At 40.1% G+C, this 14,538-nt stretch overlaps 1 protein-coding gene across 6 annotated transcripts in view, besides 2 other annotated features; it reads right to left on the bottom strand.

Annotated features, from left to right (window-relative positions):
* GRB14 (growth factor receptor bound protein 14) overlaps window positions 1-14,538 on the bottom strand; it is a 129,066-nt gene that overhangs the window by 17,146 nt on the left and 97,382 nt on the right. For all 6 annotated transcript variants that reach the window (XR_427085.4, NM_004490.3, NM_001303422.2 and 3 more), the window contains one exon: window positions 12,418-12,555. Coding sequence is in view for 5 of the 6 variants with exons in the window: in NM_004490.3 (NP_004481.2) it covers window positions 12,418-12,555 (138 nt within the window). In the remaining variant the exon portion in view is untranslated. The remainder of the gene's footprint in view (window positions 1-12,417; window positions 12,556-14,538) is intronic.
* Window positions 4,670-5,869: an enhancer, noted in NCBI's record as "BRD4-independent group 4 enhancer chr2:165370742-165371941 (GRCh37/hg19 assembly coordinates)". NCBI's record gives its function as "activates an origin of replication core promoter dependent on BRD2, P300/CBP, MED14 and CDK7 cofactors, and independent of BRD4, by STARR-seq in HCT116 cells {active_cell/tissue: HCT116}" and the evidence as "EXISTENCE:reporter gene assay evidence [ECO:0000049][PMID:35650434]".
* Window positions 4,957-5,251: an enhancer, noted in NCBI's record as "tiled region #9133; HepG2 Activating DNase unmatched - State 1:Tss, and K562 Activating non-DNase unmatched - State 24:Quies". NCBI's record gives its function as "activates a minimal TATA promoter and a strong SV40 promoter by Sharpr-MPRA in HepG2 cells, with weaker activity in K562 cells {active_cell/tissue: HepG2 | K562}" and the evidence as "EXISTENCE:reporter gene assay evidence [ECO:0000049][PMID:27701403]".

The raw sequence follows: 14,538 nt of genomic DNA on the forward strand, positions 1-14,538 counted from the left end.
GAGAAGTGCTTAATTCTGAGGTTGAATGTATAATCAAATCTGACCAAAATGCATTTGTTCTCTAAAACCTTGCTGCTAGCAGTGTGGTCTCAGACCAGCAGCATCAGTATCACCTGGGAGCTTGTTAGCAATGCAAACTTTCAGGGCTCATCCCAGACCTCCTGAATCAGTATCTGCATTTTAACAAGATCCCAGGTGATTCATAAGCAGTAAAATTTGAGAAGCAGTGGAAAAAAAAAAAAAAAAAAAAACACCCCACAGAAGAACACACTGAGCAAAACGGGCAACCCCATTCAAATCCAAAAACCAAAAGAATCTTTCATTGTCATTTACCGGTGTTATTCCACCTCTGATAACTGGCAGAACAAGAGTTTCTCTGTATTCACTGTTCTTAAGCATTTTAATCGAATGAATGACTGTAGTTTCTAACACCATTGGAGAATAAGACAGGAAAGAAAATTGCTTTAAAAAGACCCAGAATAGGACCCTCGGAAAAAGGTAGGAGGAAAGAGAAAGGTAAGCTTATTGCCCTGGCTTTAAAAATCTTATTCCTGGATAAAAATTAATTTGCTGGTAAAAATGTTTGATTTCTAGTAAGATGGAATAAAACCATTCCTGTCCACTGATGCTGTAGAAGTCAATATAGTTCAGTTATTCAAACAAGAGTAAAAGGTAGCTTGAGAAACACTGGAAGGCAATAAGAGGTATGATGAGTTTTTTTCTCTTGATTTTTGTTCCACCACTGCTAAGGCTTATGGCACTATAAGGCTATGAAGTTGAACGGGCATGGTTAGCAAAATCTAAGTATGTGTACATTTGTACATTTCCCCATGTGTACGGACATGGGGAGGTGGAGAGAAGCGTACTTAGAGATTTCTCTGTAAATATATTCATGACCACATCTTTAAGATTTGCAGCAGTAGTTAACTAAATTTAGAACTAAAACCAATCAAGACCTCCTCAGAGAAAAGGATAGGAAATGGTTTCTTTGCAGGTAGAAATGCCATATGTGACATTAGGAGGGGCAGAGCAAGATGTCTGAACAGAAGGCTCTACCTATCCTCCCCCAAGCAGGAACACCAAATTTAACATTTACACCAAAAAAAAGCACCTTTCTAAGAACCAAAATCAGATGAGCACTCACAGTACCTGGTTTTAGAAGGGAGCCCACTACCATAAAGGGTGAGTCTCAGTCCTGGTGCATTCACCACAAGATGACTGGAGAGCCCTTAGGCCTTAAGTGAACATCAGCAGTCCCTGCAGTACTCCCTGGGGACTTCATATCACTGAAAGAGGCACTGAAGGAGGTAGGAAAGACAGTCTTACATTGTCAGTACCTCCCCTCGCCTGTTCCTTAGCAGGAGAAAGAATCTGTGTACTTGGGAGAGGGAGAGCACAGTAACTATGAGACTTTGCATTGAACTCAGTGCTGCCCTGTCACAGTGGAAAGCAAAACCGAACTGAACTCAGCTGACACCTACCCATGGAGGGAGGATTTAGACCAGCCCTAACCAGAGGGGAACCGCCCATCCCAGCAGTTGGAACTCGAGTTCTGGCGAGCCTCCCAACTGCGGACTAAACTGCTCTGAGCCCTAAATAGACATGAAAGGCAGTCTAGGCTGCAAGGACTGCAACTCCTAAGCAAGTCCTAGTGATGAGCTGGGATTGGAAGCCATGCACTTGGAGGGCACACAAGCTGGTGAGCAACAGCTGGGGTGGCTACGGGAGTCCTTGCACTACCCTTCCCACAAGCCCAGGCAGCACAGCTCGTGGCTCCAAAAAGAGATCCCTTCCTTCCACTTGAGGAGAGGAGAGGGAAGAGTAAAGAGGATTCTGTCTTACATCTTGGATACCAGCTTAGCCACAGTAGGACAGGGCACCAGAGTTGTGAGGCCCCTATTCAGAAAGTAGCTCCCAGATGACATTGTTAGACACACCCTGAGCCAGAAGGGAACCCACTGCCTTGAAGGGAAAAACCTAGTCCTGGCAGGATCCATCACCTGCTGACTAAGAGATCTTGGGCCCTGAATAACCAGCAGTGATATCCAGGCAGTAATCCATGGGACTTGGATGAGATCCTAAGATAGATCCTAAGACATGCTGGCTTCAGGTGAAACCTAGCACATTTGCAGTTGTGGTGACTATGGTGAGAGATTCCTTCTGCTTGAGAAAAACAGAGGGAAAAGTAAAGGAGACTTTGTCCTGTATGTTCAATGTATGTTCGATGCTAGCTCGGCCACAGATGGATAGAGCACCAGGATGGTTCTGAGGGGTCCCCAGTTCTGGGCCTCAGCTCTTGGATGACATTTCTGGACATGCTCTGAGTCAGAGGGGAGTCCACTACCATGAAGGGCGAGTCCCAGACCTGGTGGCATTCACCACAAGATGACTGAAGAGCCCTTGGGCCTTAGATGAACATCAGCAGTTGCTAGCAGTACTCCCTGGGGACTTGTAGTAATAGTGGCCAGAGGTGAGGCTCCTCTGCCAGTGAAAAGTGGGGGGAAGAGTGGGAAGGCCTGCGTCTCATGGTTTGAGTGCCTGCTAAGCCACAGTAGAATGGAACAACAGGTAGATTTCCAAGGTTTTTTGTTTATTTGTTTGTTTGTTTGTTTTTGTTTTTTGAGACAGAGTTTCACTCTTGTTGCCCAGGCTGGAGGGCAATGGCGTGATCTCGGCTCACTGCAACCTCTGCCTCCTAGGTTCAAGTGATTCTCCTGCCTTAGCCTCCTGAGTAGCTGGTATTACAGGCTTGTGCCACCACGCCTGGCTAATTTTTGTATTTTTAGTAGAGAAGGGGATTCACCATGTTGGCCAGGCTGGTCTCTAACTCCTGACCTCAGGTAATCCACCCACCTTGGCCTCCCAAAGTACTGCGATTACAGGTGTGAGCCACCACACCTGGCCGATTTCCAGGGTTTTTGGCTATAGTCCCTGGCTCCCAGATGGCATCTCTAGACCAACCCAGGGACTGGGGGAACTTGCTGCCCTGAGGGAAGGACACAAGCCTGGCAGGCTTCACTACGTGCTGACTGTAGAGACCCAGGGCCTTGAGCAAACATAGATGGTAGCCAGGTAGTGGTTCATGAAGCATTATACCACAAGGAAATACATGCACACACATAAGACCCACACACAAGAACAGCAACAAAAGAAAACTGTGTATGAGGGAAAGAAGGAAGCTATACAAGAGCAGTTGGGGGAAAATATGGGAAAAAGTCAGGTATAACTATTTTGCAGCTCCATATCTCCTATCAAGACCATTACCCAAACATCTGGTCTCCGTCGTTAGCTGTTTTGAGCATTGCCATTTGTTTGCTTCATCCTCAATAAAACATATCCAGAACTAAGATCACTATTTGTCTTCTAAGAGAGTTACCTTCTAGTAAATATGCTATTCCTGTTTATTTTTATTTTCTATTTCTTAATTTTCTTTTATCTTTAAGAACATTTTTAACTGCTTCCTCTTCTTTGATATCAATCAGCCACACAAATCTGGCCTTTTGCCATTTAATCTTGTGGCCCCTCTCTCTCTACTTCTCTCTCTTTCTCTTTCCTTCCCACTCCTCCCTCTCTGCCTCCTTTGCCTTCTTCCCTTCAGTCTCTTTTTCTCTCTTTCACTCTCTGTCTCCTTGATCTTTTAAGCTCCCTGTGACCAAACTAATCTCAAGATACTCTTTTGGTAATTTCACTCCCTTGTTCAAACACTTCAATGGCTTTCTGTAGTGGATTGAATAGTAGCCCCCCAAAAAATATGCTCATGCCCTAATACCAGGAAATTATAAATGTAACCTTAATTCAGAAAAAGGGTCACTGAAGATATAATTAAGTTAAGGATCTTGAGATGAGATTATCTAGGTGGGCCCAAAATCCAATGACAAGTGTTGTTATAAGAGACATACAGAGAGAAAGGGAGAAGGCCCTGTGAATACAAAGGCAGAGACAAGCCATGGGACATCTGAAGTCATAACTAGCCAAGACAGAAAATCCTAAGACAAATGCAAAAGATCACATAACAAGAATAGAAAAGAAGTAGTCAAATAAATAATGGATGTACATTTCTAGTATGAAAAAAAGATGAGTTTGCAGATTGAATGTGTGTGCTAAGAATCAAGCAAGATTTAGCAGACTATATTTCAACACACCTAGTAATATAGCAGGGAAATTACTGCACACCAAAGCTTATAAGAATGTTTGAAAAACTGCCAGAGAAAAAAGACAGTTTAACCCATAAAGAAGCAACAGTGTTGTCATTGACAACTATAGATGCATGAAAATAGAATAATAATAACCTCCCATAAAAATTCTCAAAAGAATTTTTACTTGAAAGACACCAATGCGTTGCATAAAATGTCAACACTTGTATGCCAAAGACTATATAACATAATGGACATAGACTAGACACAGAAACCAGGCAGCACTGTAGAATACACATTTATGTTTAAGTGATAATGTATGTGCATATAAACTTCTGCACATGTGTATCTATGTAACCATTATATAGGTAAACATATAAGCATGTAGACAAATATATCTATTCATCCCTGATGACAGCATCATAACTTCCTCTAGGAATTTACAATGTATGTAAGGAGACAAAATAACACACACAAAATAACTAAAGAGAAGTAAAGGAACAGGAGGCAGGACTAACTTGCAGCTCCCACTCTGCGGAACAGCATGAGGAGATTCACATTGTGAACTTTTGCTCCAAGAACCACCACAGGAACATACAAGGAAAGCCAACAGAATCCACAGACCCTTTGAAGGAAATGAATTGCTGCTTCAGGGCCCCCAGAAGACAGCCAAAAAACTGTGAGTACCCAAAGTGTGAAAAGGGGGATCGTCCACCCCTGAACACACACCCTCACTGCGGAACCTGAAGGTCCAGATCACAGGAGAAGGATTTGACATTACCTACAGCTGAGACAAATTTAGAGTTGAGTGAAATACAGGGTAGAAAAAGCAGCAGGAAGAGCCTGTGGGCACTCTCGGTCCCTGGGGAAGCCTTTTCTGACTGTCTCACAGGGGTCCCTGGGGAGGGCTGCCAGAGGAACTTGGAAAAGACCACAGAGAGAAGGAAAATTCCAGCTGAACTTTGTAACAATTTCAACTGACTCATTGTTTCCTAGACAGAACCTGGGGGAGGGGGTGAATCAGGAGTGCAAACACAGTACAGAAGCCTTGGCAGGTAGGGAGGTGCAAAACCTGAAATCCCTGCTTGCCTCCTCAGTTGGGAGGCTGGTTGCCTGAGGCAAGTTCTCAGCCCTGTTCACCTGCTGCCTGGAAAAATACTCAGTGCTGTTGGCGGGGCATGGAGTGAGCTAAACTGAACTTCTGGGCTGCACAGGAGCTGCGTGAGGCCTGTAACTGCCGATTTTCCACCACTTCTCTGGTAACCTGTATGATGCAGCAGAGGCAGCCATAATCCCCCTGGGAACATAACTCCATTGGCCTGAGAACAACACTTCCATCCCCTACAGCAGCCGCAGCAAGCCCTGCCCAAGGAGAGTCTGAGCTCAGACATGCCTAACCCTGTCCCACCTGATGGTCTTTCTCTACCTGCCCTGGTAGCCAAAGACAAAGGACATAATCTTTTGGGTGCTCCAGGGCACCATCCACCACCTGATCCTCCTTGTACTACTGCAGCTGATATGCTCTTGACAGTGCCAACTCCGGGCTGCAGGCCAACCAACACAAAACGAGCACAATAAACAAAACTACAACTAAGGACCCTCACAGAGTCCACTTCACTCCCCTGCCACCTTCACTGGAGCAGCTGCTGGTATCCATGGCTGAGAGACCTGAAGATGGTTCACATCACAGAACTCTCTGCAGACACTCTCCAGTACCAGCCCAGGGCCCGGGAGCTCCACTGGGTGGCTAGATCTGAAAGAGAAATAACACTCACTGCAGTTTGGCTCTCAGGAAGCCACATCCCTAGGGGAAGAGGGAGAGCACCATATTAAGGGAGCACCCTGTGGGACAAAAGAATCTGAACGGCAGCCCTTCAGCCACAAATCTTCCTTTTGACATAGTTACCCAAAATGAGAAGGAACCAGAGAAACAATACTGGTAATATGACAAAACAAGTTACTTCTTACCCCTAAAAGATGACACTAGCTCACCAGCAATGGATCCAAACCAAGAAGAAATCTATGAATTGTCAGAAAAAGAATTTAGAAGATTGATTATTAAGCTCATCATGAAGGCACCAGAGAAAGGTGAAGTTCAACTTAGTGAGAAAAAAAAAAAAAGCCATGATACAAGATATGAAGGGAAAAATCTTCAGTGAAATAGATAGCATGAATAAAAAACAATTACAACTTTTAGAAATAAAGAACACACTAAAAGAAATGCAAAATGCTCTGGAAAGTTTCAACAATAGAATCAAACAAGTAGAAGAAAGGACTTCAGAACTCAAAGTCAAGGCTTTCAACTTAATCCAACAAAGACAAAAAAAAAATAATTTAAAAGATGAACAAAGCCTCCAAGAAGTTTCGGATTATGTTAAATGACCAAACCTAAGAAGAACTGGTGTTCCCGAGGAAGAAAAGAAATCTGAAAGTTTGGAAAACATATTTGAGGGAATCATCAAAGAAAACTTCCCCAGCCTGCTAGAGATCTAGACATCCAAATACAAGAAGCTCAAAGAACACCTGGGAAATTAATCACAAAAATCATCACCTAGGGAAATAGTCATCAGGTTATCCAAAGCCTAGTCAAAGGAAAAAAATCTTAAGAGCTATGAGGCATAAGCATCAGGTAACCTATAAAAGAAAACCTACCATGGTGGCGTGCGCCTGTAATCCCAGCTACTTGAGAGGCTAAGGCAGGAGAATCACTTGAACCTGGGAGGCAGAGGTTGCAGTGAGCTGAGATCATGCCACTGCACTTCTGCCTGGCAACAGAGGGATACTCAAAGAAAAAGAAAAAAAAAAAAAGAAAACCTACCAGATTAACAGTGGATCTCTCAGCAGAAACACTACAGGCTAGAAGGGATTGGGGCCCTATCTTTAGTCTCCTTAAACAAAATAATTATCAGCCAAAAATTTTGTATCCAGCGAAACTAAGCAGTCTTTTCCAGACAAACAAGTGCTGAAAAAATTCGCCACTACCAAGCCAGCACTACAAGAGCTGCTAAAAGGAGCTCTAAATCTTGAAACAAATCCTCAAAATACACCAAAATAGAACCTCTTTAAAGAATAAATCTCAGCATTTTGGGATGCCGAGGTGGGTGGATCACTTGAGGGCAGAATTTCGAGACCAGCCTGGCTAACATGGTGAAACCCTGTCTCTACTAAAAATACATAAATTACCCTGGCATGGTGGTCCTTGCCTGTAATCCCAGCTATCTGGGAGGCTGAGGCAGAAGAATCACTTGAACCCAGGAGGTGGAGGTTGCATGAGCCGAGATGGTGCCCCTGCAATCCAGCCTGGGTGACAGAGCAAGACTCCATCTGTATTAGCCTGTTTTCATGCTGCTGATAAAGATATACTTTATCAGCATGAGACTGGGCAATTTACAAAAGAAAAAGGTTTAAGGGACTCACAGTTCTTCATGGCTGGGGAGGCCTCACAATCACAGCAGAAGGTGAAAGGCACATCTCACATGGCAGTAGACAAGAGAACTTGTGCAGGGAAACTCCCCTTTATAAAACCATCAGATCTTGTGAGACTTATTCACTATCACGAGAATAGCATGGGAATGACCTGCTCCCATGATTCAATTATCTCCCGCCAAGTCCCACACACAGCACATGGGAATTATGACAGTACAATTCAAGATGAGATTTGGTTGGGGACACAGCCAAACCATATCACCATCTTACAAAAAAAGAATAAAGCTCACAGCTCACAAGACCTATAAAACAAAAACATGATGAAAAAAGAAACAAGGTATTCAGGCAACAAATAGCACAATGAATAGAATAGTACCTCAGTACCTCACATCTCAATACTAACATTGACTGTAAATGGCCTAAATGTTCCACTTAAAAGATACAGAATGGAAGAATAAATAAGAATTCACCAACCAAGTATTTGCTGTCTTCAAGAGACTCACATAACACATAGGGACTCACATAAACTTAAGGTAAAGGGGTGGAAAAAACATTCCATGCAAATGGACACCAAAAGAGAGCAGGAATAGCTATTCTTATATCAGACAAAACAGACTTTAAAGCAACAGCAGTTAAAAAAGACAAAGAGGGATATTATATAATGATAAAGGAAATTGTCCAGTAGGAAAAAATCACAATCCTAAATATATATATGCACCTAATCCTAAGGCACCCAAATTTATAAAACAATTTCTACTAGACGTAAAGAAATGAGATAGACAGCAACACAATAACAGTGGGGGATTTTAATACTCCACTAACTGCACTAGACAGGTCATTAAGACAGAAGGTCAACAAAGAAACAGTGGATTTAAACCATATCTTAAAACAAATGGACTTAACAGATATTTACAGAACATTCTACCCAACAACTGCAGAATATACATTCTATTCATCAGCACACAGAACATTCTCCAAGGTAGACCATATGATACGCCACAAAACAAGTCTTAATACATTTTTAAAAATTGAAATTATTTCAAGTACTCTCTCAGAACACAGTGTAATAAATTGGAAATCAACTCCAAAAGGAAACCTCAAAATCATGCAAATACATGGAAATTAAATAACCTGCTCCTGAATGATTGTTAGGTCAATAATGAAATCAAGATAGAAATGAAAAATTTCTCTGAACTGAACAATGATAGTGACACAACCTATCAAAACATCTGGGATACAGCAAAGGTAGTGCTAAGAGGAAAGTTCATAGCCTTAAATGCCTACATCAAAAAGTCTAAAAGAGCACAAATAGGAAACCTAAGGTCATACCTCAAGGAACTAGAGAAACAAGAATAAACCAAACCCAAACACAGCAGAAGAAAAGAAATAACAAAGATCAGAGAAGAACTAAATAAAATTGAAACAAATAAAACAATACAAAAGATAAATGAAACAAAAGCTGGTTCTTTGTAAAGATAAATAAAATTGATAGACCATTAGCCAAGATTAACCAAGAAAAGAAGAGAGAAGACCCAAATAAGGTCAATTAGAAATGAAACAGGAGATATTACAACCAATACCAGAGAAATACAAAAGATCATTCAAGGCTACTATGAACACCTTTATGCATATAAACTAAAAAACCTAGAGAACATGGATAAATTTCTGGAAAGATAACCCTCCTAGATTAAGCCAGGAAGACATAAAAACGCTGAGCAGACCAATAACAAGCAGTGAGATTAAAATGGTAATAAAAGAAATGATCAACAAAAAAAAAGGTCCAGGACCAGATGGATTCACAGCTGAATTCTATCAGACATTCAAAGAAGAATTGGTACCAATCCCATTGACACTATTCCACAAGACAGAAAAAGAGGGAATCACCCCTATATCATTCTATGAAGCCAGTATCACCCCAATACCAAAACCAGGAAAGGACACAACAAAAGAAGAAAACTACAGACCAATATCCCTGATGAACATAGATGCAAAAATCCTTAACAAAATACTAGCCAACCGAATCCAACAGCATATTGAAAAGATAATCCACCATGATCAAGTGGGTTATATATCAGAGATGGAGGGATAATTTAACATATGCAAGTCAATAAATGTGATACAACACATAAACAGAATTTAGAACAAAAATCACATGTTCATCTCAATAGCGTTAGTCAAAATCCAGCAACACTTTATGATAAAAAACTTCAGCAAAATTGGCATAGAAGGACATACCTTAAAGTAATCGAAGCCATCTATGGCAAACCCACAGCCAACATTATACTGAATGAGGAAAGGTTGAAAGCATTCCCCCTGAGAACTGGAACAAGAAATGGATGCTCACTCTCACCGGTTCTATTCAACATAGTACTGAAAGTCCTAGCCAGAGCAATCAGACAAGAAAAAGAAATAAAGGGCATCTAAACTGGTAAAGAGGAAGTCAAACTGTCATCGTTTACAGATGATATGATCGTATACCTAGAAAACCCTAAAGATTCCCCCAAAAACTCCTAGAACTGATAAATGAATTAAGCAAAGTTTCAGCATACAAAATTAACATACAGAAATAAATAGCTCTGTTATACACCAATAGTGACCAAGCTGAGAATCAAATCAAGATCTCAATCCCTTTTGCAAAAGCTGTAAAAAAAATAAAATAAAATACTTAGGAATATACCTAACCAAGAAGGTGAAAGAACTCTACAAGGAAAACTACAAAACATTGCTGAAAGAAAACATAGATGACACAAACAAATGGAAACACAGCCCATGCTCATGGATGGGCAGAATCAATATTTTGAAAATGACCATACTGCCAAAAGCAATCTAGAAATTCAATGCAATTCTCATCAAAATACCATCATCGTTCTTCACAGAACTAGAAAAAAAAATCCTAAAATTTGTATGGAACCAAAAAAGAGCCTGCATAACCAAAGCAAGACTAAGCAGAAAGAACAAACCTGGAGGCATCACATTACCCGACTTCAAACTATACTACAAGGCCATAGTCACCCAAACAGTAAAGTACTGGTATAAAAATAGGCACATAGACGAATGGAACAGAATACAGAAATAAAGCCAGATACTTAACAGCCAACTGGTCTTTGACAAAGCAAACAAAAAAAAGTGGGAAAAAGGACACTCTAGTCAACAAATGGTGCTGGGATAATTGGCAAGTCACATGTAGAAGAATGAAAGTGGATCCTTATCTCTGACCTTATACAAAAATCAACTCAAGATGGATCAAAGGCTTAAATCTAAGACCTGAAGCCACAAAAGTTTCTAGAAGATAACATCAGAAAAACCCTTCTAGATATTGGCTTAGGGAAAGACTTCCCGACTAAGAACCCAAAATCAAATGAAACAAAAATAAAGATAAATAGATAGGACTTAATTAAACTAAAAGCTTCTGCACAGCAAAAGAAACACTCATCAGAGTAAACAGACAACTCACAGAGCAGGAGAAAATATTTGCAATTTCTACATCTGACAAAGGACTAATATCCAGAATCTACAAGGAACTCAAACAAATCAGCAAGAAAAAAAACAAAGAATCCCATCAAAAAGTACGCTGAAGACATCAATAAAAAACTCTCAAAAGAAGATATACAAATGGCCAACAAACATATGAAAAAAATACTCAACATCACCAAAGATCAAGGGAATGCAAATCAAAATCACAATGTGATGCCACCTTACTCCTGCAAGAATGGCCATAATCAAAAAAATCAAATAACAGTAGATGTTGGTGTGGATGTGGTGAAAAGGGAATGCTTTTGTGCTGTTGGTGGGAATGTAAACTAGTACAACCACTTTGGAAAACAGTGTGGAGATTCCTTAAAGAACTAAAAGTAGAACTACATTTTGATCCAGCAATCCCACTACTGGGTATCTTCCCAGAGGAAGTCATTATATGAAAAAGATACTTGCACATGCAAGTTTATAGCAGCGCAATTCACAATTGCAAAAATATGGAACCAGCGCAAATCCCCATCAATCAACGAGTGGATAAAGAAATTGTGAGATAGACAGACAGATAGATAGACAGACAGACCACGGAACCATAAAAAGGAATGAAATAATGGCATTCCCAGCTGCCTGGATGGAACTGGAGATCATTATCCTACGCGAAGTAACTCAGGAATGTAAAACCAAAAATTGTATGTTCTCACCCATAAGTGGGAGCTAAGCTATGAGAATGCAAAGGAATAAGAATGATACAATGGACTTTGGGGACTCAGGGAAAAGGTGGGAGGGGGTGAAGGATAAAAGACTATACAATGAGTAGAGTGTATTCTGCCTGTTGATGCGTGCACCAAACTCTCAGAAATCACCACTAAAGAACTTACTCAGGTAATCAAACACTACCTGTTCCTTAAAAACCTATTGAAATAAATCCATCAATCAATAATAAAAGAGCAATAAATGACTCAGAAGAGACATTTTATTAACTGTTCTATTATTAACTGTTCTGTTGATGTTGATCAACAGAGATTCAGAAGTAGACAAGATCAGCAGTATGACCTGGGGTAAAAAGAAAAGGTATACACTACATCAGGCTTCAAACTCTGAAGCCAAGGATGAGGAGAAAGGAGTGAATTCAGAGTGAGGACAAAGGAGTAACATACGTTGTACTGAAATAAGAGTATCCAGACTCCATCAAAGATACTACACTTTGAAACCAGTGTGAAGTAAAGCTGAGTAGTGTTTAAATAATCAAGGCAAACGTTTTAAATCAAGAAAATCAAAGACCAACCTTTGACATCAAGTAATAAAGTAATAAATACAACAAAGTCAACGTGTTTTAACTTACAGCTTAATATGTCAGTCATAACACATCATGGATACTTCAATTTACCTTTGATGTTCCTTTAGTAGAAAAATATAAACCAGATCTTCTTAGAAAAAAGTAAATTTTTTTCCAAGACTTCTTTCCCTGTTCTTTCGCATGTAAGAAACCATGAATTTCAGGATATGTGCTTGAACTCAGAAACATCTGAAAGAAAATTTATATATTTTCAAACTATGATTAAATCAATGATATGGTAGCCTTATACTAATCATATTAAGATTCCAAATATAAACATGTAAAAATCACACAAGATCATAACATATAACATTATGGTAATTAACTATGTGTTTGTGTATACTGCATTGCTTTGATAGTCCTTGGTATATCTCTCTCCTCTGTCTCTCTTTCTATCTCCGTGTGTGTATACACACACACATACACACACAGAAAATAAATCAGTCTTCCAAAAACCTAAGATGTTTCAAATGAAAATGAGTTCACAAAATATACATTCTAAGTGATAGTACATAGTTATCTAACTACCAAAATTATCAGCTAATTGAATGTCCATTCAAAAAGTTGGACGTCATCTATTGCGTTAAGTCCTGATATGCTTTTCATCGTTTTCCATGGTTTTCCCTGAGATTACAGGTTTACCTATTAACTTCATTATGGTATAAGTAAGACCACAATCCTGACTTCAATTGTGAAGCAGGAAGTTGAGCCAAGTTCACCTCCTTGAGGCGGGTAAAGCAAACAAAACTATCTCTTCTTTGTCATCTGTGGTTCTCAGTTGTGGGTGGATGTGGCAGGTCATGTTTTCCAAAGAGGACAGCAACAATGTCTTCCATCCCACATGCTCTTCTGTAATGTCATCTTGCCACTGAATCACAAAAAGGTGGAGTCTTTCTCCACTCCCTTGAATGCGAGCAAGCCTGTCATTGCTTTGACCCATACAATATGTGGAAGTGACCCTTTGCCAATTCTAGGTGTGGCCCTTAACTAGCCTGGTGATTTTCGTGACTTGGCCCTTGGAATCCAGCTGTCACATAAGAAATGTGACTACTCTGAGACCATCACAGGTAAAAAGTCCAATGCAACTGGAAAAGCCCTGCAGGATGAGACACCATGAGACAGACAGAGAGAGACAGTAAGTGGGGGGAAACAGGGGAGAGAGACAGAGACACCAAGGAGTATCAAACGACATGCAGTCAAAAAACTCTCTTAGAAGGGGACCTTCAATCCCCAGCACTGAGTCAACGTGCCTCAGAGATGACCCACCCAGCTAAACTCTTCCCAGATGCCTGTCCCACAAATTGTTGGCAAAATGTAAATGGATACTTTAAACCACAAAGGCTTGGAATAGTTTGTTACATGGTAATAATTAATTGAGACAGTGGGCATGTGTTGGTCAAGAAAATGAGAATGAAAAGGAATAGCTCAACTGAGCGTTTGTGCTCAGCATCCTTAATAAGACAGTGGAAATGCATTAGTGTCTCATTTAAAAAAAAAAAGAAAATAGAAATCCCTCTGAATAAACAAATGGAAAAAATTTGAAATAAGGGAATTTATTAACTAAAATAGTGTAACACATTTTAAAAGGCTACTAAAGGAAATGCTGACAGTAGATATTTATGTTTTTTAAAGTAAATTACTAAAAGAAATTTAATTTAATGAGCCACAGATATTAATTAATTGACATGCAAAACAGGCAAGTAGGTTTTTTAGTTTGAGTGCTTTCCAAGTTATTAAACCAAACCAATTAAATTTTAAAAAGAGAGTCATAGAGGTCACACTAGAAAAAGAAGAAACCTTTTAAAAAGGGGAAACATTGCCTCAGTGGAGAGAAGAGGTCAGGGGCACATGCAGGACTATCTGATTCCAAAGCCTGTGATTTTTCTTGTTTTTATAATTTAACATTAAAGCAACATAACTGTGCTACAGGAAGACTTGCAAAAGGAGGCGGAATAAAAACTCCATCCCACCACTGTGTTGTAATACAGTGGTGAAGCATTCAGAGGGCTGAGATCTGAAAGTCCTGGGGCACAGCTGCTGCTGCCATTTACCTAACATTTTGACAGGGTGTCTCTGTAAAAACCCAGGAGCACAGAAGCAGCTTTTAGAAAAATCTCTGGGGACTAATCATGTTTCAAAAATATTCTGAAGCACAAAAATGAAATATAACCT

Source organism: Homo sapiens, chromosome 2 (assembly GCF_000001405.40).
Source record: "Homo sapiens chromosome 2, GRCh38.p14 Primary Assembly".
Lineage (NCBI taxonomy): Eukaryota > Metazoa > Chordata > Mammalia > Primates > Hominidae > Homo > Homo sapiens.